This window comes from Homo sapiens, chromosome 8 (genome assembly GCF_000001405.40).
Source record: "Homo sapiens chromosome 8, GRCh38.p14 Primary Assembly".
NCBI lineage: Eukaryota > Metazoa > Chordata > Mammalia > Primates > Hominidae > Homo > Homo sapiens.
This window is the reverse complement of record NC_000008.11, coordinates 101,959,141-101,982,480: the sequence shown is the minus strand read 5'-3', so window position 1 is coordinate 101,982,480 and position 23,340 is coordinate 101,959,141. Positions and strand designations below refer to the sequence as shown.

Genomic DNA, 23,340 nt, shown 5'->3' with positions numbered 1-23,340 from the left:
ACAGTGGCTTTCAACATACAAGGTAGGTTCATAGTATTTTATAGTTTATAGTTAGTTTATAGTTATAAAGTGCTTTGTAAACTGTAAAACTTATAGTTTATAGTTACTTCCCATTCAGTCTGCCTTAATTCCTAATATCCAAAAGGAGTTGGTATATGACAAGCTCATGGCACCTGCTTAAAAGCAGTGTCTTAAGCTAGTTTCAATTTCTTTGGCTTAGAATGTGTGTTAGTCTGTTTTTGTGTTGCTATAAGGGAATACCTGAGACTGGGTAATTTATAAAGAAAAGAGGTTTATTTGACTCACATTTCTGAAGGGTGTACAAGCATGGCACCAGCATCTGCTTGGCTTCTGATGAGGCCTCAGGAAGCTTACAATGATGGTGGACGGTACAGGGGGAGCAAGCACATCATATGATGAGAGTGGGAGCAAGAAAGAGACAGAGGAGGTGCCACACTTTTTCCAACAATCAGATCTCACGTGAACTCAGCGGGAGAACTCACTCATTATCACAAGGAGGGAACCAAGCCATTCATAGGGATCCATCCCCATGACCCAAACACCACCCAGAAGACCCCACTTCCAACATTGACATTTCAGCATGAGATTGGTAGGGGACAAAACGTTCATATCAGAATGAATCTGGCTCCTTCTCCCAAAATAAGGACGTGAACTACCCTTTGAGACTTGGAATTCATATACACTGAAGACTGTTTAGAAAAAGAAATGTTCACATAAATAGGTTATAGTTCCTTAAAAAGCCAGGTTCAGCAGATGTAGCCATAAAAAGATTCACAGGAGCTGAGAAGTTCCTTATGGCCATTTAATTTGAAGGTCACTTTAATTTGTCATTGGTCTTGAATTCAAATATTCACAAAAGTAACCTTTGGGCAGGAGAATAAATCAGTACTGTTAATTGCACTTGTTTAATTCAGCCATGAGAAAAATTAATCCTTTCATAAGCAGCTGGTTTTCTGGATGACATTCTGCTGCTGAACCATTCCTTTTATTTTGTGATGGAAAGAAAGGTTATAAAATGTTTTTAATTAAAAGTTTTAATCTTTTTTCCCCTTCTCTAAAAATACATTGTGGAAGAATACTATTTTAATTGGAAGAAATATTTAACTCAATAAAACTAAAATATAACTGGCTATAATCAGGAAATGAAATAATCAAGATAGGACATCTGAAGGAACCCACAAGGTTTCTTGTAGGTATGCATACAAGAAATTTATACTGAGACCTGTAGTTTTTCAGAATAGGCACTAAGGAAACCTGGTAATAAACCAACGGGTTGGCCATTTGCTATGTGCAAAGCTAGTTTGAGAAATATAAGAGGAGGTTATTGCCTTCAAGGAGCTAATCTGATTGCAGAGATAAAACCCATGAAAAGTGATTGATATACAAGAATTAAATGACTGTTTAATTGAAATAATGCCACAAAACTGTACTTATCTTCCAGATAATTGGTACTGGTAATAAGTGCTTTATTTGGAAAAGAGAGAGATGGTTGTGGAAAAGCATGCAGCAAGTTGGAGATGGAACTTGAATTGGGTTTTTAAGGAGGAGTAGGACTTGGATAGACTTAGAAGGGCCTTAGGGATGACAGAAGAAAAGCAATAAATAATAGGGCTTAAAATGGCCTGGGATCTTCATGGCTATGCAATCTGGATGGTACATGAATACCGCCAGTGACTCACTGCTTTCATGGGTAACCTGCTCTATTTTTGCACAGCATTAGTCATCAGAAAGTACTTTTGTTTAGTCTTCAGGTGAAATCTATCCCTGCCCCCTTGAGCTTCTATTTGAATTCTTTCCTTGTAGAGAAATGTAAAACCGTCTTCCAAAGATGAGCCCTTGAAATACGTGAAAAGGATTATTTTGTGTCCCCTAAGTTTTCTTTTCTTCCCCAGTCCTTTTGGCTATTCCTCATTTTTCACTGTTTCCAGATACTTTGCCTTCTTGTTCAGTTTTCTCTATGTATCCTGAGACCCTTCGCCAATAGTCTTTCTCTTGCGAAGCGTGGGTCTGATCCTAGCCCTTTTAAAAACCTGCAGCCCCTCTGCAGTGCCCACAGAATAAATCCGGCCTCCTTGCTTAACTGTGACATAGTTCTTCTTTGGGGGCTAAAAAAGGTTTGCACTGTGCATGCCTCCCCCTTCAGTAAAACGCCGCCTGTGCCAGAAGACATGGCATAACTGTGACACAGCATCTAATGTGCGCCCCACCTCCACTTTTCCTTGTTGAGTGGGCAGGGAGAAGATGGGGAGTGGGGTTTTGGGGTTGTATATTTTCCCCTTTGGTGAGAGAGCAAGGCCATTGTCTGAGTGCTGTAGGCACTACTTTTGTTGTCCTGGCCACTGTACATGGCTTCCAGGGATGCCAAGGCTGATGTGGAATCAACCAGTGCCCCCTGCCCCCACCCCCATTTTGGCCTTGGCTCAGCACTGTGTTTTTGCCCCTCAGAGCTGCCAAGCCTTCACAGGACCACCACCACCCTATCCTCCTGTGAGTGAGCTCATGAGGCCCCTCAGGCCCTGATGTAACACAAGGACTATCCTGGCTGAGTTTCTGATTTTCACCTTTCCTTGAAGCTAACAGGGTCTCTGGGGCATCTAGACTGGCTGGGAAAGTCGGTTAGTTGCCAGAATGACCGAGGCTTGCAGAATCCATCCTTAACACTGTCGATAGGGATTTCTTCACTTTTTTCTATTTGTTGCTCTTGCTCTGTTTTATAATGATTTGAGCTGTTACAGTCTAACTCAATCACACTTCTTTCAGCATTCTGAAAGGAAAACTATGTCTATAAATTCCAGGAAGAAGAAGAGATTGTAGCTTTTGGCTTTACTGAGAAAACTCAGAATGACTTCTTGTTTTTCTTCTGTGTTATTTTAAAGTGAGTAGCATGGTTTCTCTGCAGATGCCTCTTCCCATCCTGAGATTTCTCATGGTTACTTGTTGATTTGCTGTAAGCTCCAAGAGTGCTATAGGACTCTATTTTTATTCTCTGCATAGCACTTATTTCCTGATATTTCTCATGCATATTTGCCGATTTGTTGTAAGCTGCCTAAGAGTAGGAACGTTGTCTTTGTTCATTACTCTGTCCCCAGCATCCAGTGTGGTAGACATGCAATGAACAGTGTAATGAATGATAAGTCATTCTTGGTGTAGAATGCATTCTTCGCCATACTTTGAGGGCTGGCCTTATGAGCCTTGTTAGGTTTTAGCAAAAAGAAATTTCTCCAGAATGCCTGCTACCTGAAAGATGCCCTCCTGATTACTTACTAGTCTTTGGGGTTGCTCCCAGTGTCCCCCTGCCAGTGGTCATCTGCCCAGCCCCACTCTTGGAATCTTCTGGAATGAAAATCTGCCTTCTGCTTCTCTGGGGTTTGGCTCTCTGAGCATTTCTTGCCTGTTTGTATGTGGGCTGATCTGATTGATCTGAGTAGTCTACCATTTGATTAATAGTTTGCTCCCCATCTTGTTCATTACTCTGAACTACTGAAAAACTGCTTCCTTGTTTCTTAAAGGGCCATAGCATTCAGATCCAGGAATTGAGCTTCAGACAGTTATGTATTGCTATCTGCTTTTTACCCAACACTGATTTTTATCAAACACTGTTTTCCTTTGGAGAGCTTGCCTGCCTTCCTTTCTTCGTTTCTTGCTTTCTTCCTCCCTCTCCTCAGCACACATTTGTTGATCTCCTACTTTGTGCCAAGCCCTTGTGCTAAGTGATGAGGATCCATGGTGAATAAGACAAGCAGTCTGCCTGCCCCCTCATGCATGTTAGAGGCTACTATAAAAACAGTGTCCTCACCACCACCACCACCACCACCTGCACACATTATGCATGCTTCAGTTGAAGGGTTGAGTTCCATTTTGACAAATATCATCATGGTGTAGAGACTGGGCTGTAGAATCAGGCAGATCTGGGCTGACCTCCCAGGTCTTCCATTTATTACCCAGGTAACTTACTTTCTTAGTGCTTCAGTTTCCTCAGTTGTATAATGTGGAGAATAATAGTCTTCACCTTGCAGAATTCATAGGAAGATAAAATGAAATACAATTTATGTAAAGCACTTAGGACAGGATCTGACCCTTAATCCGTGTCAGTAATGAGAGTGAGGATGGTGATAATCTCTGGGAGCCTGGATGAAGGATGTGGAAATAGTTCGACCTTGATTATGATACAAGTGCTCTTAATTGCCATTTGCTTAACTAAAGGATAAAAGGTTCTGTTTAAATTAGCAAAGGGGAAAAAAGAGGTAAACATAGTTGGGATACATAAGTACAGTAATCATATTTTTTTAACTTGAAAAATCAGCCTGCGTAGTGTGACTGACAAGCAGGCATATGCACTTCTCGGGGGTGGGCACAATATTTATATTCGGGTCACTGGTTGCTGTATGGACGAGGCACATCTACCTTAAAAAAGAAGCTGCTGAGAGGGGACAAGGGGCTTGTTGGGGAGGGGGCACTGAGGGCGGAGAGAAGGAAGAGGAGAGGAGACAAAGCCCCTGGGCTTGCTCATTTCCTGCTCTATGTACCGTGACTTACCTAGAGTTCTTTCAGCCTTTAAATAATTGAAGACCATCTTAAGTATCAGGGCCTTCATGAAAGTAAGTAATATGCCCAGTGGCCTGTCTGAGCTAGGATAAAAATCTAAACACTCTGAAAGGATCGCTGTGTGTGTCATAAAGGAGGAATTTGTCAACAAAATGGAAGGGCAGATACCTGTCTGTGCTGGTGCCAGAGTCTGGTTGAGAGCTGTCTAAGGATTGCAGCCCCCAGAAATGCTCAGGGCAGAGTGGGTGCACCTGGAAGGACGGATGGTGGAGTTGTCCTTGAGTGTTCACAACTGTGTGGCCTTTAATGGGATGTCTGCTTGAAACAGAGTAAGAGCAGGAAGTGTCTAAGGGGCCAAGCCCCATGTTAATAACAAGTTTGCTGCTTGAACATTCAGCTAATTTGAAAATTAGTTCATTTTTAAATGCCTTTTAGCAATTTGAGTACTTAGAAAATTTCTTCGGGGAACTTAACAACAAAAATTCCCACAAAAATGTCCTAAGGGATGGAAAAAAATCTCCCAATTCTCTTAGAATACTTTTAACTTTTCAGCAGAGGTATCCAAACATAGAGTGTGAATGTTGAATAAATATAGTTTAGGACAAAAATAGAAAATGGAGACTTGTTCTCCTAGTGCGAAAACACATGTAATAACCACAATATTTTTCTTTTTTTTTTCACTGTAAAAAAAAATTCTGGGTAATGCTTCATGCTGGGCAAATGGTTATTTCTCCTTTCCATCTTTTCATTACCTGCTGAGAGAGAGGTAATGAAAAGATGGAAAGGAGAAATAACCATTTTTCTTTGCCAAAGAACTCACATTTTTAATGTCTTTGTTTCTCTTTAAATTTAAATTTATATCAGGAGAAGATTCAGAAAAGATCATGGTGAGATGAAGTATCTCCACGTAAGCCTGCTATTTCCTAGGCATGGTCAGGGGCCCTCCCTAACTTCCTGGCACTGTCCCTGGCCCCCACTTCCTCTTTCCTCACTCCTGCCCCTTTGCCTTGGATGCTCTCATAGTGTCTGTGTTTCTCCTTCATAGCACTTACCACAGTAGTAATTTAAGAATAAACTTTGTGATTCATTTTTAAGTATTTCCCTTCTTTGCTAGACTGTAATGTCCATGAGGGCAGGGGGGTAGACTGTGCACCTGGGTATACACTGGGTCTGACCAAGTGCCTGACACATAGTAGGAGCTTAGTTTATATTGTTGAATAATAGATAATGTTTATTCAATGACAGGCATTCTCCTAATGAAAGAATCAGCCTTTAAAATACTTGGCAAACCATAAAAAAAGCTTCAAATAAAATCTAAAAGAATCTATGTGTACAATTTATTTTGTATATTCCTTTGGGTATTTAAGCTATTGCATACATCAAATGCTACAACTAGCCTGGATATGAACATTGGAGTTTCCAAAAGTGTAAATTGAGGTCAAATAAATTATTTTATCTTTTCATCCCTGTGTGAGTGAGGGAAGGGGAGGGAAGTTTTGCTAAATTGAAGTTAGCACAGGGAGAGTAGGTCGTTATTAGTCGGGGGGTCCCCAATCCCAGGTCCCTCAGGAGAACATTCAAAGAGACATTGCTTGTGTACCAGCCAAGGTCACAACAGGAGGTGGCAGGCACTCTCAAATGGGTAATTTGAGGAGAATTTAACAAAGGGGTGACTTGTGAAAGTGAGGGCAGGGTTTATAGAAATCATTTAGAGATAGTGCAGCACCCAGGGCTAGCTACAGCTGAGAGCCTTTACTCCCTCTAGTCCTGAAGGGTAAGGCCTGGAGAGTTACCAGAACCCACAGAGAAGAGCTGTAAAGAGTTGGCCACTTAAAAGGAGCTGTGAAAATGGTAATGGAGTATAGCGAACCCACGGCATCTTGGCGGGAGGAAGCTGGGGGAGTGCATACTTTTCTTCCACCTCCCAATCTCCTGCCAATGCCTTCTATGAGTACAACCCAACCAGCAGTCAAGACATAAGGGAACCATTGCTTTGGTCCATAAGGGTCAATTGTACAAGGCCCAGAGCAGGGTAGAATAGGTTGGAGAGTGAAGGTGAAATACAAAGAGAAGATATAAGGTAAAAAAGAAGATAGAAAACACAGCTTGCATACTCTCCACAGAAGCCCACCAGAGGAACAGAAAGCCTGGAAAGTGTGAAAATCCCATATTAAAATAAGGACATTTATGTGAGAGCTTTGGAAGGTGAACCTCTGCACTGTCCCAAGGAGGAGAAGTGATATTGCCAATGTAAGTTGCTGCTCACTTGCAGCAGCTAACCTTAAATCGTAGAGGTCTCACAAATTCAGTCACCTGAACAAATGCTAGTAGTTGCAAGCACCTTGGTGTGTTGGACACAGGAGCCTTACAAGGGTTATTTTTGGTGCCTCCATTTTCCAATAGAGCAAGGCCGTTTCTGTAGGCTTTTCTTAAGTACAGTGACACTCACAGTGAGGCCCCAGCAGTAGCACCTGGGAGCTGATTAGACATGCAAATCCATGACCACACCCCAACCTTCTAAATCAGCATCTCCGGGGGTGGGGCTTAGAGAGCCATAGTTCAACAGCTCTCCAGGTGATTCCTATACACACTGAAGTTTGAGAAGCACTGCCTTTGCAGCTATGGCAAACTTCTGGAACACGAAGAAATAAAGCTGTGAGTAAAACACCCCTCACTGCACCAGTACACACAATTTTTTCTTACTCTTGGCATATTTTCAAATAGTCCTGTAAAATAAGGAGATTGGATTAGAGAAGTGGTTTTCAAACAGAGTTTATTTGATCCCCTTAGAGCCAAAGGGGTCACTGGGCCAATTCACCCAACCAATGTAATGTTTATCTTTATAATATTTCATTTGTACATAAGGTTCTAAGACTTAAGAAGCATTGAAAAACCTCTGGTTGAGATGACCTAAGGTTCTGTCTTGCTCAAATGTTCTATGGTGTTTTGTATATGTGTCAATTGCGTTGATTCAGTATATGTAGTATCTGTATTTAGTGCTTACATAGATGGGGCATATTTTGTTTCATTTCAAAATATTAGTACTGGCTTATGCCCAGAGGTGCTATTTTTCCATTTCCTGTCCTTTCTGGCATAACTAAGGTGTTTTCCCATAGATCTTTCTACCCTGAATGTATGTATAATTTCTAGAATAGCAGTTACCCCTTGTCGGCATGTTGTTAGTTATTTTAGTATCTTTTATTGCTGTTTTGAACACACACAAAAATTGCAGAAAGTTTCATTGTATGTTTGCTTGTATCAGCTTATGTGTCAGAGCTAGTCATGTAAGCATTTAGGCTATTATATATTTTTTAAGGGAGCGGCTTCAGCAGGCAGGATCCAAGTTGTTCTGATCCCTGTTGTGTACTTGGCTTACATGACATCCCACATGCTTGAGCAAGTGCCTGTCCTTTCTGTGCTTGTATTTTCTTGTCAAAGGGCCATGATAATATACTGCCTCCCTATGTCACATGGGGTGGCTCCAGAATTTCCACATAGAAGGGGGTTTGGGGCAGTAATCTTTTAGCTGGGGATAGAGAATGGGACAGGGACTTTTCATGAAGGTAAATTTGCAAAGGAAACACACAGCTTTTCTTAGTTTATATATCAAAGATCATAAAATTTAAAAAGTCTTCCAAATATGCTTTTATTTATATTAGGTTGGTGCAAAAGTAATTGCGGGTTTTGCCATTACTTTCAATGAAATGAAAATTGATAAAATGGGAAATTGGTAAAGTGGAAATTAATTATATCAAGGAATACTTTTAAATAAAATTTGGACTGGCTTTGGGGGAGGATTATTGAGGGCAGGGAGAGCTAAAGTTCTTGCCCCTGGCCACTTGTTAACATAGCTCTTGTGTGACCCTGGGATCTTGTGAAGATAATAAACTGATGAAAGAATGGAACAAGTGCAAGACTAGAAGGATTATCAGGCTGGTAGCGTTTATATTTCCTTAAGGGTCTTTAGAGAAGGAAAAGCATTTGATTCATCTTTATGTCTTTCCCCAGCTCTCAGCACCTGGTACAGTGCGTGACTCATAGTAGCTGTTCAATAAATACGTGAAGTGCAGAAGAATTTGTAACTCAGATGTTACCTGGGGTTGCCTGATTCTTTGATATATAAAAAGGACTTGAACTCTATCCTAGGTGCTCTGCAACGTTAGAAGCTTGTGGTCTCATGGTCCACTCTTGCTCTGATTTCTGGTTGCTCCAGAACTCTTGGTCACACATCTGTCTCACCTGTGGCTCTTCCCCTCTGTTTTCTGTGTGAACCCACCACCAGCTTCTTCTCCTTGGTTTACCCCAAACAATTCTCATACATGGCATTTGTGTGCAGTGGACATTCCTAGTTCTTTGTGGATACCAGTTGGGGGACAGTAGCACATAGATAGTTTAGGGTTAAATATTAGTTTTCTTTTAAAAATTATCCTGGGGAATATGCACCTTTGATATGACATGATGAAAATGGCACTTTGCCTCTGAAGTCTATTTCATTCAAACCCCTAACCTCAGTCTAAGTATAGAAAAACATCAGACAGCTTGCAACAGAGGGCCGTCCTATGATATGCCTTAGCAGGACTTTCCAAAACTCTCAAGGTCATCAAAAGCGAGGCAAGTCTGAGAAACAGTCACAGCCAAGAGGAGCCTATGGAGACATAATGATAAATGTAATGTGGTATCCTAGATGGGATCCTGGGATGGAAAAAGGATATTAAGTAAACACTAAGGAAATCTGAACAAAGTGTGGTCCTCTGTTCTCATACCTGGAACAGAAAATTTCTTTCTGCAAATTTTCCCCCTTGCTTTCCTTGTTAGAGTGCTGGCCCTGGCCTCCTGCCCCATCCATATCACTGCCCTTCTCTTCCTCATACCACTCCTGCTTTGGGGCAACTCTCAATATCCCCCATCCCCATTAATTTTTTCATGGAGCACTTTAGGGGCTCTTTGTTTCACCCTGGCTCATCCAATTCCTCTTAAAGTGACAACTGTCTCTTCCCACTGCAAATGAACAAACTGTTTGTTGTGAGCCGATCCTCAGTCCAGATCCAGCTTACCCTATGCAGTTCTGGGGAACTCTGGGATCATAATCTTTCAGTGTGGCCTAGCTCAGGACAGCTGAATTGCACCAACTGGAGCATTGCCCATCAGGGAGAGAAGGGTTTACTCATCTTTCAAGGCTTTATCTCAATATTAACTATATGTTTTCCCCACGATGGACATTGAACTACTTCTAAACTATGTATTTAGGTTGGGAAAAAGTAACTTCCAATTCAGTGCCAGGCACTGAGGATACTCAAAAATGCCCTTAGTAATGAACCTTCTAGAAAGAAGTTGAATTCACTGAGTGGCAGATTTCATGGTAAGCTTTCAAACATCATTGTTCCTGCAGAAATTATCTTCAGGTTGAAAAGTGGGTTCTGAGCCATGTTATTCTCATCAAGGCCATCCTAACAAAAATAAAGGGAACAGAGGGAAAAAATAGTTACACTTTTCTGGAGTAGCAGATGGGTTATCTCATTTAATCCCCACAACAACATATTAAAATAGCTATTTTTGTCCCAGTTAGAGACAAGGAAGCTGAGATGTGCATAGTGGTATAGCCTATGAGTGGCCCGTCCAGAGTCCAACTGTGCCTGACCACAAAGCTTGGGCTCTATTCAAAGCCCTGTCTCCTCACTGCTTTTCCAGAAGTCCTGGTGCCAATGTCATTGGAAGTACTTGATTTTTTTCCGTGTTCTTGACTTGTGCCTTTACTTTTTGCCAGTGCTTTCTAGAGGTAGAAGTTTAAATATGCATGTCAGTTTTCATCCTCATCAACATCCTCCTCCTCCTCACATACCTCTAGTGAATCCGTGGATTCCTGTGAGAGGTTTTGTGAGAATACATGGAAAGGCTGTTCAGGTCCAATTCTCTTCCAACCCAAGATGAATCTAAGAGCCCAACCTCCCAGCTGCAGAAGATGGCATGACTTTCTACAAGTCATTACATATTTTCTCATGTCTTTTCCAGATTTCTCATATGTGGCAGGCATAAGATGAAGGGAAAGGGGAGGATAACTGGGGTTAGGTGGGCAGCCAGGTAAATAAAAATAGAGTCAAGAGGCCAGGTCAGTGTTTCTGGGGTCTCAGGGTCTTTTATTAAGCCATGTCAGCCATCAACAGAAGGCATGACTTTGTGTTGATGCCCTCTGTGCAACCAGTTGGTACCACTTTGGACCATCACTGTATTAGTCCATTCTCACACAGCTATAAAGACATACCTGAGGCTGGGAAATTTATAAAGGAAAGAGGTTTAATTGACTCACAGTTCCACGTTGCCAGGGAGGCCTCAGGAAACTTCCAGTCATGGTGGAAGATGAGAGAGAAGCAAAGGCATGTCTTACATGGCAGCAGACAAGAGAGAGCAAATGAGCAAAGTGGGAAGAGCCCCTTATAAAACCATCAGATCTCATGAGAACTCACTATCATGAGAACAGAATGGGGGAAACTGCCCCCATGATCCAATCACCTCCCACCAGGTCCTGCCCTTGACACATGGGGATTATGGGGATTACAATTTGAGATGAGATTTGGGTTTGGACACAGAGCCAATCTATATCAACCATGTAACCTTTACTGTCTGAGAGAAGGAATGATGCTGCAGACAGGAGGAGTCAAGCTGAAGACCACGATACACACTGACATCTCGTGCTTCATATCTGTCTTAGTCCATTCTGTGTGGCTGTAACAGAGTATCTGAGGCTGGACAATTCATAAAGAAAAGAGGTTTAGTTAGCTCATGATTCTGATGTCTGGAAAGTCCCAGGGTATGGTTCCAGCATTTTTTTGGCTTCTGATGAGGGCCATCTGCTGCATCAAGACATGGCAGAAGCAGAAAGGCAGACGGGCATGTGCAAGGAGGCAAACACAGGGAGGGACCTCACTTTATAACAACTAATCCAGTCTTTCAAGAGTGAACTCCCTCCTGTAAGATGGCATTAATATACTCATAAGAGACCTGTCCCCATGACCCAAATACCTCCTATTAGGCCCTACCTTGCAGCATTGCCACAACAATAATCAAATTTCAGCCTGAGTATTGGAGCAGAAAAACCATATTTAAACTGTGGCAACATCTTTAGGACACCTCAAGGGAAAGATTTTTGGCATTGGGTGAGGGGGCAGATTTGAACAGCATTGTAGCAAACACAGTTGATGCAACTTAGTGGGTTTATGGGGGTTTTCTGAGTTCAAAAAATTCTGTTACAACAATGATAGAAGCAGAATTCTGTCATATGCTTTCCTAGGAGCAGCCTAGTTTCTGTTAAACCACATGTTAGGCTTTGAGCCCTGAAACTTAACAACTGTGTAGAGTAATATACTGCTAGAAAATAGTTAGCCTGTACAACCAAAACAATTTTTTGGAGTAGATAGAGCTTTTTGGGTTGGGGCCACAAAAATTCTACAAAAAATTCAGACTCTTTTGATGGTAGAAATCTGCCTTCCAGGAGGGGGCAGGCAGTACCATTGATGGAAAATTTGCAAGGAAATATTTTGTTATTATAGCACTATTACAATGCAATAATACACAATGCAATTAAAAGATCATTATGGGTGAAAAGAGGTTGGAAGAAAAAGTAGAAACCAGCAGAAGCAATGTAAATACATGAACAAAATCTCCATATTTCCTTATTAAAAAGTAGAAGGCATTAAAGAGGTTATTTGCTACATTCTAAGAATCTGGAGAGTAGAAACTGAAATAAGTAGGGACTTGGGCTAAGAAATGATCTGTGATAGCTAAGTTACTACAGAGATAAATCAGTGATTGGAAAGTTACAGGTAAGTTACTTAATGTTCATGGAGCGGCTTTTCCTCATCTTTCTTCTCCTTCTCTTCATTATTATTATTTGTAGTATTACTCTGAGAGCACTTTGAGGGTTGTACCTAAATGGCTAAGCTAAATGATGTATGCTCTATTATCTGTAAACACATGTGTGTGCACACACACACACACTTAGATTTATTTCTACTTTCTACATTTTTCAGGCCTGAAATCAATCTAAGAGCTTGGGCCTGTCTGGCCTGCAGAAGGCTGAAAGTTGTAAAGTATTAGGTCAAATCATATGAAATTGTTTTTGTAAGTCAAAAACAGCCAAACATTAGTTATTTCATATGATTCAATATGGGAAATTCTAGATGTATCACAAAATGTAATGAAATGTCATCCATTATCTGGTAGTAGTTACCAAGACGAAGTTTCATGCTGGAAGAAATTAAAAAGCCCTTCTGAGGTGTGTCTTTTTTTGCCAGGCAGAAGCCACCCTGGGCTCTCATAGCCATTGGCCCCGTCTGAGAATCAGATGACCTGGGTTTTACTTATGTCTTCATTAAAAGATATGATAATTAACATAATACTCTCTCCCAAACTATGTGTTTTTTAGAGTTTCTTCTAGTCAAATGAAATAAATGTTGAAGGGCTTTGAAAAGCTAAAAATTATGTTGAAGTAACAGTATCATCATTACGAAGTGTGGGGTAATAGACTGAGGGCTGTTCAGAAACAGGAGAATGGAATCTTGAATAATAGAAACCCACTCAGATTTCTTGGTCCATTCTGAGTAGTGAATTCACCAGCTAATACAGGCAGGAGATTTCTCCCTTTAATGTGAGACTGGGCCTTCAGAGCTTGGCTTAGGTAAAAATGGAGACATCATTTGGATGGTACCGTATTTTTTTGAATTAAAAATAACTGTAGCTTTGTGCTGAGAACTGCAAGGAACAAATGGTTCTGTATGTCACCAGATTTAATGGAGACAGGTGGTGTGCTCGGCTCAGCCCTGGGGGCTTTCCTCACTTGCAGAGACTGCTTGTGTTGCCAAATTCCAAGATGGTTTAAGGCTGAACCAATGAAAGCTCCAACCTGCTTCTCCTCCTGTGAATACAGTAGAATCCAATCACAATTCATTCAGGACTGTCTCAAGCAACTGGGGTCCTCAGAGATGCTTGGATTGCATTTTGCTAGCAACTATTTTTCACTAGGCAATGGGGCTTCAGGCAGGCTCTTTCAGGAACACATTCACCAATTTGCTCGGTATGCATTGTGGGGCTTTGCTGGGATTTTACTTGGAGGGGAAAAATTTATGATAGAATTTGAAGAACACAATGTGAAGAAGGCATATGCTGTTTGGACCAGCATTTTTTTTTTACAGGAGAGTGATGTGGAGGGTTTTGGGAAGAGGGTGGCTAGATGGCAGGCACAGGAAGTAGGGAAAGAAACTACAAGCCCTTTCCTTGTGCCAGGTACTGGGCCATAACAGTGCAGGCATTACAGCAAGCATTTTTCACAGCGTCCTGAGTCAGGAAGCATTGTGACCCATCTTAGGGATAAAAAGACTCAGGTGTGACAGCAGAGCACTCTAGGCAGTACCTTGGTGTCAAACACTGACCTCAAAGAGATGAGTTTATGAGTTTTTGTTTACCACGGCTTAGTCCTAGATGATTAAACTCCAGCCTGGAAAATCTATTTGTCACAAAAATTATCTATTGATCTGCTTGTTTGATCTGGAAAAGTTGCTTTAAGGTACAAGGGGCTATATGAAATGGAAGTTAAATCTATTTTTTTTTTTCTTTTAAGAAAAACTGCCCTTTAAAGTTGGCCATTTATTTCCAGTTTTTGTGATTTCTTCACCTTGGAGCAAAACTTCTTTATTCTGGGAAGACCCACTTGAGTAGCCTCTTTTAGCTAAGTAGATATAAAGCCAATACCTACCGACTCCAGAGTTTGGGGCTTAGAGAAACCTGGAGGTCTGTAGATGGGTGACATTGGTCATAGGCTCTCCAAAACTTATTATTATACAAAGCTGAAAGTGATGGGCAGATTTGCTTAACACCTCTTAAGGGGCAACCAATCATATTCTGTTTCTCTTTGAGGCTCTGACTTGTTCTCATGGCTAGTGATCTGGGTGTCACACTACACTGGGGTTGTCAGAGGGGAGGTTGCTGATGTTGAAACTCCTCTGGCTAACGTGCCTTGGCAGAGCATCTGGCATGAAATGACTGAGGGTGAGTGCATGTGTGTGTGTGTGTGTGTGTGTGTGTCAATTTTAAGAGCTGTGTCAACAAGCTGCTCTGATGCTGGGAACGTAGGCCTACTCTGGGGTAGAGAGTCCAAGAGAGTGAGGCCGGGAGAGAAGAATCCTCACCCTCTGCTGCCTTGCTGGTGGCAGTGTGGGGCCTTGGTTCCCAGAACTCTTGCTGGCATTGATAACCCATTAGGCCTTGGGTTCTGAGACGCCTGCTAGTTGGCAGGCCCTGGCACTGGAAGTCTGTGTTCTGCTTTTAGCAGCAAAACTGTAGTTGTCTCAGTGGCAGAGTATGGGACACTTAACCAATTGATTCGACTTTCTACCTTCTCCTCTGCAAAGAGACAGTAGCCACATCTGACTACTTGGATTGAATATTGGGCCCCTAGGATTCCTGTCCCTTCCGAACAAGGGTTTCTCAGGAAGTAAGGCATCTTTACCAAAAGAGGAATTGATCTTGGATTCATATTGCTTTTACATCAAAATGTGGTGAAGATGAACTTGTGTTCCCTAATAAAAGTCCTTGGATTTAAAACATTCCTTTGAATTATTTGATGCTGTTTGCTTTCCTCATCTTAAGAGAAATGGAGTCCAGCACACTTCCTTGGCAACTTCCGTTGTGGTTTACAACACTGTTCATGAATCAACTGCTAAAATTTTCAGGCTTTAAGGGCATAGTAAGCACGATGTTATCACCAACAGATAGGTAAAAAATGAAAATAATTTGAATTTAGTTTGTTCCAAAAATTTTTGGCAGCTGTTTTGAAAGCTCTAGTTCTTTCCCTTCATCAAGCATTCCAACTGCTTTTTATCATAGACATGTTATGTACTGCTGAACACACACACGTATATATTCTAAAATTAGCATCATGAATATATATTATTTTATATCCTAATTTGTTCCCCATAATACATTATTTCATTATTATTTTTCAAAAACATGACTTTTAATGGGTGCATTCTCTTGTATAAATGTGCCATGGTTTAATTATGCAATGTTTTTGACACAATGGTTATTTCCATCTTCATCATTAAAAATAATGCTGTGATGAACATCCTTGCACCTGAATCTCTGTGATCTTCTCTGATTATTCTTTTAAGGTAGACTCCTGAATATGAAAGTTTTAGATTGGAGAGCAAGTTTAAGCTTCTTCATACCTATGTCAAAAAGGTCTAGATAAGAATGCTAAGTTTACCACATTCTTTTTTTTTAATTTTATTATTATTATACTTTAAGTTTTAGGGTACATGTGCACAATGTGCAGGTTTGTTACATATGTATACATGTGCCATGTTGGTGTGCTGCACCCATTAACTCGTCATTTAGCATTAGGTATATCTCCTAATGCTATCCCTCCCCCCTCCCTCCACCCCACAACAGTCCCCAGTGTGTGATGTTCCCCTTCCTGTGTCCATGTGTTCTCATTGTTCAATTCTCACCTATGAGTGAGAACATGTGGTGTTTGGTTTTTTGGTCCCTGCGATAGTTTGCTGAGAATGATGGTTTCCAGCTTCATCCATGTCCCTACAAAGGACATGAACTCATCCTTTTTTATGGCTGCATAGTATTCCATTTAGCACATTCTTTCCAACATGTATTTTAACCTTTAAAAAAAGCTTTGCCAACTTGATTTGTAAAAAATGGGTAACTTTTCTCTTTCTCTTTTTTTTTTGCTTTGATTGCCATTGAGTTAAACTATTTTATTTTACTGATACTTTGTATTTTGTGAAATATCTAATAATGTTCTTTTTTTTATCAGAGTATTTTTTATTATTTCATTATTTGCAAGTGTTCTTTATATTTTAGGGATATTAGCTCTTCGTCATAATCATGGCAAGAATGTTCCTAAAACATTTATGTTGTTTATTAACATACAAAAGCTTTTATTTTCATCCAGTCAAACCTATCAATTTACCCTTTTTGATCTATTTCAATTTATTAAGTGACAAATAATTATGAGTAATGTGGGAATAACACAGCACAGCATTGCTATTCCTTACAAATTATTTAGGCAATAGAAAATCATTTCCAAAAATAAGTGTTTTTACTTTCAATCTGCTGTTGCTCTTTTCTTTTTTAAACATTTTTTAAAATTATACTCTAAGTTCTGGGATACATGTGCAGAACATGCAGGTTTGTTACATAGGTATACGCATGCCATGGTGGTTTGCTGCACCCATCAACCCATTGTCTACATTAGATATTTCTCCTAATGCTATCCCTCCCCTGGCCCCCCACCCCACAACAGGTCCTGGTGTGTGATGTTCCCCTCCCTGTGTCCATGTGTTCTCATTGTTCAACTCCCACTTATGAGTGAGAACATGTGGTGTTTGCTTTTCTGTCCTTGGGTTAGTTTGCTGAGAATGATGGTTTCCAGCATCATCCATGTCCCTGCAAAGTACATGAATTCATCCTTTTTTATGGCTGCATAGTATTCCATGGTATATATGTGCCACATTTTCTTTATCCAGTCTGTCAGTGATGGGCATTTGGGTTGGTTCCAAGTCTTTGCTATTGTGAACAGTGCTGCAATAAACATATGTATGCATGTATCTTTACAGTAGTATGATTTATAATCCTTTGGATATATACCCAGTAATGGGATTGCTGGGTCAAATGGTATTTCTAGTTCTAGATCCTTGAGGAATCGCCACACTGTCTTCCACAATGGTTGAACTAATTTATACTCCCACCAACACTGTAAAAGTGTTCCTATTTCTCTACATCCTCTCCAGCATCTGTTGTTTATTGACTTTTTAATGATTGCTATTCTAACTGGTGTGATATGGTATCTCATTGCGGTTTTGATGTGCATTTCTCTAATGGCCAGTGATGATGAGCTTTTTTTCATATGTTTGTTGGCTGCGTAAATGTCTTCTTTTGAGAAGTGTCTGTTCATATCCTTCGCCCACTTTCTTATGCTTGAGAAGAAGTGGGCATTCCTAACACACGCCTTAAGAAGCCTTTTGGAGTCATTCTTCCTTTGGTGTTTCCCATTCTGTACCAAAACATTTTCTGTTTTTATGAAATATGTGTGCTGCCATACCTATTTTCTGTGCGATATCATTCTTCTTTCAAAATTAGGCGAATCCTTGACTGTCCTTATGGATAATTTGGATTTCTGTACATGTTTAGACATTTAGACAGATGTTTAGACATTTTAATGTGGTATTTGTGACAGAGATTGGCTCACTATTCACCAAACTTCTATCCTCTTCCTTCTGGTTACACAGGTAAGTCTCTGGGTTATGGGAAATAAAATGACTGTATGAGCAGAAGTCATGTGCACCAATTCCAAATTTGGCCCAAACCACACATTTCACCAGGTGCTCTCCTCATACTGTTTCCATGGTGGCTTTGGAAACCATGCAGTGAAGTTGGTGGAGCCACAAGATGGAAGGCTACTGGGACCCTGCATTGTCACCAATCAGAACCTTGCCTTTGAATCTATGCAAGGGAGAAATAAAAATTTCTGTTGGATTACACCAATGAAATCAGAGGGTTATTGGTTATAGAAACTGGCGTTACCTTAACTAATACTATATTCTTGTGGTCAAGTTAGAGAAACTTTAGATTTGTAATAGATATATGCAAAGAAAGTAGATTAATATAAGCTGATGTCAAAGTCGGGGGGTGTGTCTAGAGGCAAGCCATTGGGTTCTGTCCTTCTATTCATAGGTGAGAGGTGGTGAGCAGTCTGGAAACTTGAGAATAAGATAGTTAGAAGAGAGCCATGATCAATATTTTTGTATATTTCAAGATTTTTAAATGCGTGGCTTAAGAGAATATCATTACAACTAGTGACTGGAAATTAAAGAAAGGCATATTTTAGCTCATTACAAATAATTTAAAATAATAGGATGTACTGCCTTGGAAGGACATGAAGTTCCATTAAGTATAAGAGGCTGGTCATTTCCTGTCATGGATTTTTTTTCAGTGGAAGTAGAGGAGACCATTAAGATCCTTTCCGTATCAGTGAGACTGTGAACTACTGTACCACACTATTATCATGATTGACTTCTTAGTAATATCTTTCCAGGTGGTTTCTCTCTTCCTGAGATTGCAGGGCTGATAGGCTGTGTTTGTGATGCCCTCATTTGAATTTACAGTAGCTTGTTGTGCCAATAAGGAACTTACCTTCTAGACCCACTGTTATTAGGTTTGTTTTTCAGTTGTAGGTATAAAAATTGGATATTTATTGGCTCATATAACAGAAAGCTCATAAGAAGAGCAAGTTTCAGGAAAAGGTAGATCCAGAAACTCGAATATATTATCAACACCCAGATTCTTTCCATTCTGTCATCTGCCATTTGCAGTGCTAGTTCTGTCCGGCAGCAGTTCTGTCCCTCATTGTGGAAAGTGATGCCAGCAACAACTGGAGTCACATGCTTCCTTGGTCATGACTTCAGGAGTTGATAGGTTGCAGGAAACAGAAGTGGGAAGTCTAGTGCCATGTTAAGGAGATCTAGACAAGGAAGTGGAATAAGTGGGGTGCAATGAGATGAGAGGAAGTCAAAAAACCAGGAAAAGGAGATTGGATATGTGTGCTCAGTAATTAATAGTTTCTTAGGTTCTGGAGCAGAGGTATGGCATAATGAAAATCATGTTTAGAAGGTCTAACTTGGTGCCATTTCATTTCGAAGAGGCTTTAGTGAAAAGTGGCCATGACTTGAAAAGAGGTTTCCTTTTTGAGGGTCTTTCAGTGATGTGTTAGAGTAGTTCATAAGAGTTTATAAAAGCCAATTGTTAAATTTTCAGGAATTTTGTATGCCAGCTATTAAACTGTTGGCAGCCTGAAATGGACTGTGAAGAAGTATTTACACCATGGAAATTGGCAAAAGGTATGAATCAGGGCTCTTCCCCTTCATAAAGCCAATTTACTACTACATCACAGGTATTTGGCAATACATCTTTTTGTTTTGTTTTTTTTGTTTGTTTTTAACCTGCCCCAGGATTATGAGAAATCCTAGTAAATAGAAAGAAAAAATAAATTATAAGCCCAAAATAATATCACAGAAACCCCCATGGGGTCAATTATAAGTTATTGCTCTATGAGAAACAAACCTAATAATCTATTCTCCTTTATTCCAAATTAATATGGACTAAGTTTATTTATTTCAAATGCCTCAAAGGCTTAACTCTAACTTAGTGCTTCTCAAACTTTAGTGTGCATGTTAATTACCTGGGGATCCTATAAATGCAGATTCTGATTTAATAAATCTGAAGAGTTGTCTGAGATTTTGCATATCCAGCAAGATCCCAGGTGATGCCATTGCTACTGGTCTAGGGACTTTGAATAGCAAGGATCCAAACCTCTTTCTGCCACTGAATTTGTAATCTGTTGCAGGAGAAAAGGGTAAAGGAAGCAGGCTGTTGGAAGCATTAAAACTAATTTGACTGAAGCTAGGTGCTGCATAGGCCAGCAGCCAGATTGGCTTGAATGGCTTTAGCAAATCAAGAAATGAAAGCAAGCTGAATGGAAGAGATGTTTATCCTTCTTTTGTGTTTGTTTCTTTGTAGATAGATCATATATTTTATTGGACTATCAAGGTAACAAGATGAATTACAGACTCGCAACTGGAGTTTGGCAGACTGTGCCATGACACAGCTTTGTCTATAAGACACATTGCATTGTTTTCAAACTTGTTGCCCAGGAGTCATTTTTCAAGGGTGAATTATTGCCAAGTCACTGAGTTTGGTGTCACTGAGGAGATTATTATGGGTTTTTGAGTGGTTAAGTATGGACTTCTGCATTTTTTTTTAAATAACAAAATGAATAAGCCACAGTTTGGTCCTTTGCTTTAATAGTGTTTTTAGGAACTCTCTCTTTTGAGATAAACTGATGTCTCTTGGACTGTAGATTTTCATCTAGGGTTTTGAAATTTCACTAAATATATCTGAGTGAAATGCCAGATTTTACTGCTTTTTCTGAGGTTTCTCTGGATTCTGTTTTGATAAATATTTCACTGTGGCCCAAGCCAAATGACTGTAAAGCTAAAGCCAGCCTCTGTTTTTTCTTTGGAAATTAGAGTAGGGGAGAGAGTTGAGGTAGAGTGGAAATGCTGGGACCCTGTAGAGTTGGCGAGAATGTCCTTTGTAAATTTGAATTAAAAGTAGTAGTTAGCATGCTAGACACAGTGGCTCACACCTATAATCCCAGCTACTTGGGAGGCTGAGCCAGGAAGATATCTGGAGGTCAGGACTTCAAGACCAGCCTGGACAACATAGTGACACCCTGTCAATAAAAAATAAAAGTATAGTTAGCAAATGGACACCAGATCCAAAATACCCCAGCAGTACCACAGTCAGCCTTTCAGAGATGCTGCTTAGGCAACAGTAGTTCAGTTTTTACCAACAAAGGACTAATTTATCGTTGGACAGGACTGGAAACTTTGACCATGAGATAGAAAAAAACTATTGAACTTGAATCCTGGAAGATACCTGAGAAATACTCAAATTTACATTGCAGGATTTATAGATGAGGAAACTAAAGCTTAGAGAATTTTATGGCTTGCCCAAAGTTACCCTGCTTGCTGGAAACAGAGCCAAGGCTAGAATTCAGTTTCCCTGATATTTTTTATTATACCACAATGTTATTGACTTATTATCTACCAGATTCTGTGCTAAATATTTTACTTATATTATCTCATTTGATTCTCATCAAACCATCTGTAATAGCTAGCATTCATTTATTCATTTATGCCATACATATTTATTACACACCTACCATGTGCCAGCCACTGTCCGAGGTACTAGGGATACAATCAGCATTACGGCACTCATATTCTTTCTAATGAGAACAGTAGACAATGATTAAATAAGCCAAAATGTGATCCTTTAGATAGTGATGAGTGCTATGGTGAAAATGAAACAGGCTGTTATGATGATGGTGGGTGCCTGAAGAGTAAGAGAATGGCTTCAAATTAAGGAGGTGACATTTGGGTAGAGACCTAAGTGACAAGAAGAGTGTCTCAGGCAGAAGAAACAGCAAATGCAAAGCCCCACGGAGGGAAGGAGCCGGTATATTCAAAGAATAGAAATCAATCAGAGTGATCAGACTACATTGGTGAGGGTAAAAGTGAAATAAAGGGTCCTCAAAACCAAGGCAAATTGCTAAGGGAGTGGAAAGCCTATGGAGGGTTTTGAAAGCAAAGGAGCAAAATGATCCAATTCATGGTTATTATTGTTCCTTTTCTATCACTTCCTCATTTTACAAGTGAGAAGTCTAGGTTCACAGAGGTTCTGTGACTTGCCTAAGGTCATCCAGCTGTTAAGTGGCACAGGTGTCACCAGATCTGATTCAAATAACTCCAAATCCCATGCTGAGCTGTTTCCATTTTTTCCGATACCAGTTTTCTCCTCCACTAGCCACACTATTCCTACTTGTAAAACAGTAATGCCATCATGTTAAATGAAATTTTTTGATTTGAAGTTTTTGATACAATTATTTTTTCCTGAAAAATGGGTTGGGGGCAGTGTGTTTCACTGCATTCTACTCCATTCTTCACTGCATCCTACTCTACCGAGGGAACTTATTTTTTCCCTGGGTAAGTTCTGATGTTTAAAAGTCCTCTAGCAGCTACTTCAATGAGTTTTTTGTCTGATTGGTGCTGCCATTATCTTTTGGACACTGGCCAAATGCACCAGAATGGTATGGTGGGCTCTGGTGCATCTCAGAAAATGTATAGAAAATAGAAACGAATAATGTGGGAGCTCTTTAGTGTCCTTTCCTGCAAGCCTGAAAGAATTAGCAAATGGCATCATCTAAAGGCAGGCTCAGTCCTCTTCTATCCTTCTGGACCATGTTAGCCCAAAAGCCATTAGATAGGGCTGAAGAAGGTAGGTGTTCACTCAGCCTAGGTATTGTGGAATAGGAGAGGGATGCTTTGGTGGTTCAGGAAGGACGTTGGAGCCCAAGTGGGATGAAGAGGTGTCTGTACAATCCTAAGGTATTGAAGCCTGAGGGGGTGAAAAGGTGTCTGCAGTAGGGAGGGTGGGTGGGTATCAGCAGCAGTGAGCCATCGCTATGAGCACACCTAGTGCCCAGATGTTGGTTCCTAAATACCATTTTCCACTAAAAGAAACTAGTGATCTTTAGAGAAATTACAGATTTCAGAACTAGGGCAGGCAAAGTACAAGTTGAGCCTGCAACAACATGTTGTGCCAAAAAGTAAGCCTCAAAGAATGATGGGGATGTTTCTGTAGGACCTAGTAGCCTGCTGGATGGACCTCCCACTGGCTAAATCTGGAATAATCTGAATATCAAGAAGAGTGATAACAGATTATAACTCAGTGAATGAGACAGGAATCTGAGTTCACAGTAATATAAATAAATTAACAAATAACTGGAAAGTTTTTTGAGGACTGAGATATTTATGCAGTCTCAAAGTACCTTCTTATGAAATACCTACATATTACAAAAGAAAAATGAGTAATTTACTCTGGTGTGTCTGCCAGGTTTCTCCAGCTAACATCACCTTGAATGAGACAAATTGAAATTTTGTGCCACCTGCAAAGTCCAGATAGAAGGACACAGCATCACTTCTGGGATGTTACCACCAAAGATGCATAACTTGAACCTAATTGTGAGAATACATCAGAAAAACTCAAATTGAGGGCCATTAAAAAAAAATAACTAGCCTGTAATCTTCAAAAATGCCAAGTTCATGAATGTCAAGGACAAGAATCTGTTGCAGATTGAAGGAAGATAAATAG

General features: G+C 40.2%; 1 protein-coding gene across 17 annotated transcripts in view; it reads left to right on the top strand.

The window, feature by feature from the left end:
* NCALD (neurocalcin delta) overlaps nt 1-23,340 on the top strand; it is a 438,366-nt gene that overhangs the window by 142,427 nt on the left and 272,599 nt on the right. For 3 of the 17 annotated variants that reach the window (XM_047422318.1, XM_047422311.1, XM_047422306.1), the window contains exon 1: nt 7,121-7,221. The exons of 13 other annotated variants lie outside the window; for them this stretch is intronic. The gene's annotated coding sequence lies outside the window, so the exon portion shown is untranslated. Of the gene's footprint in view, nt 1-7,120; nt 7,222-14,506; nt 14,605-23,340 lie in introns of those variants that run through there. One more of the 17 variants, XM_047422307.1, reaches the window with a different exon arrangement.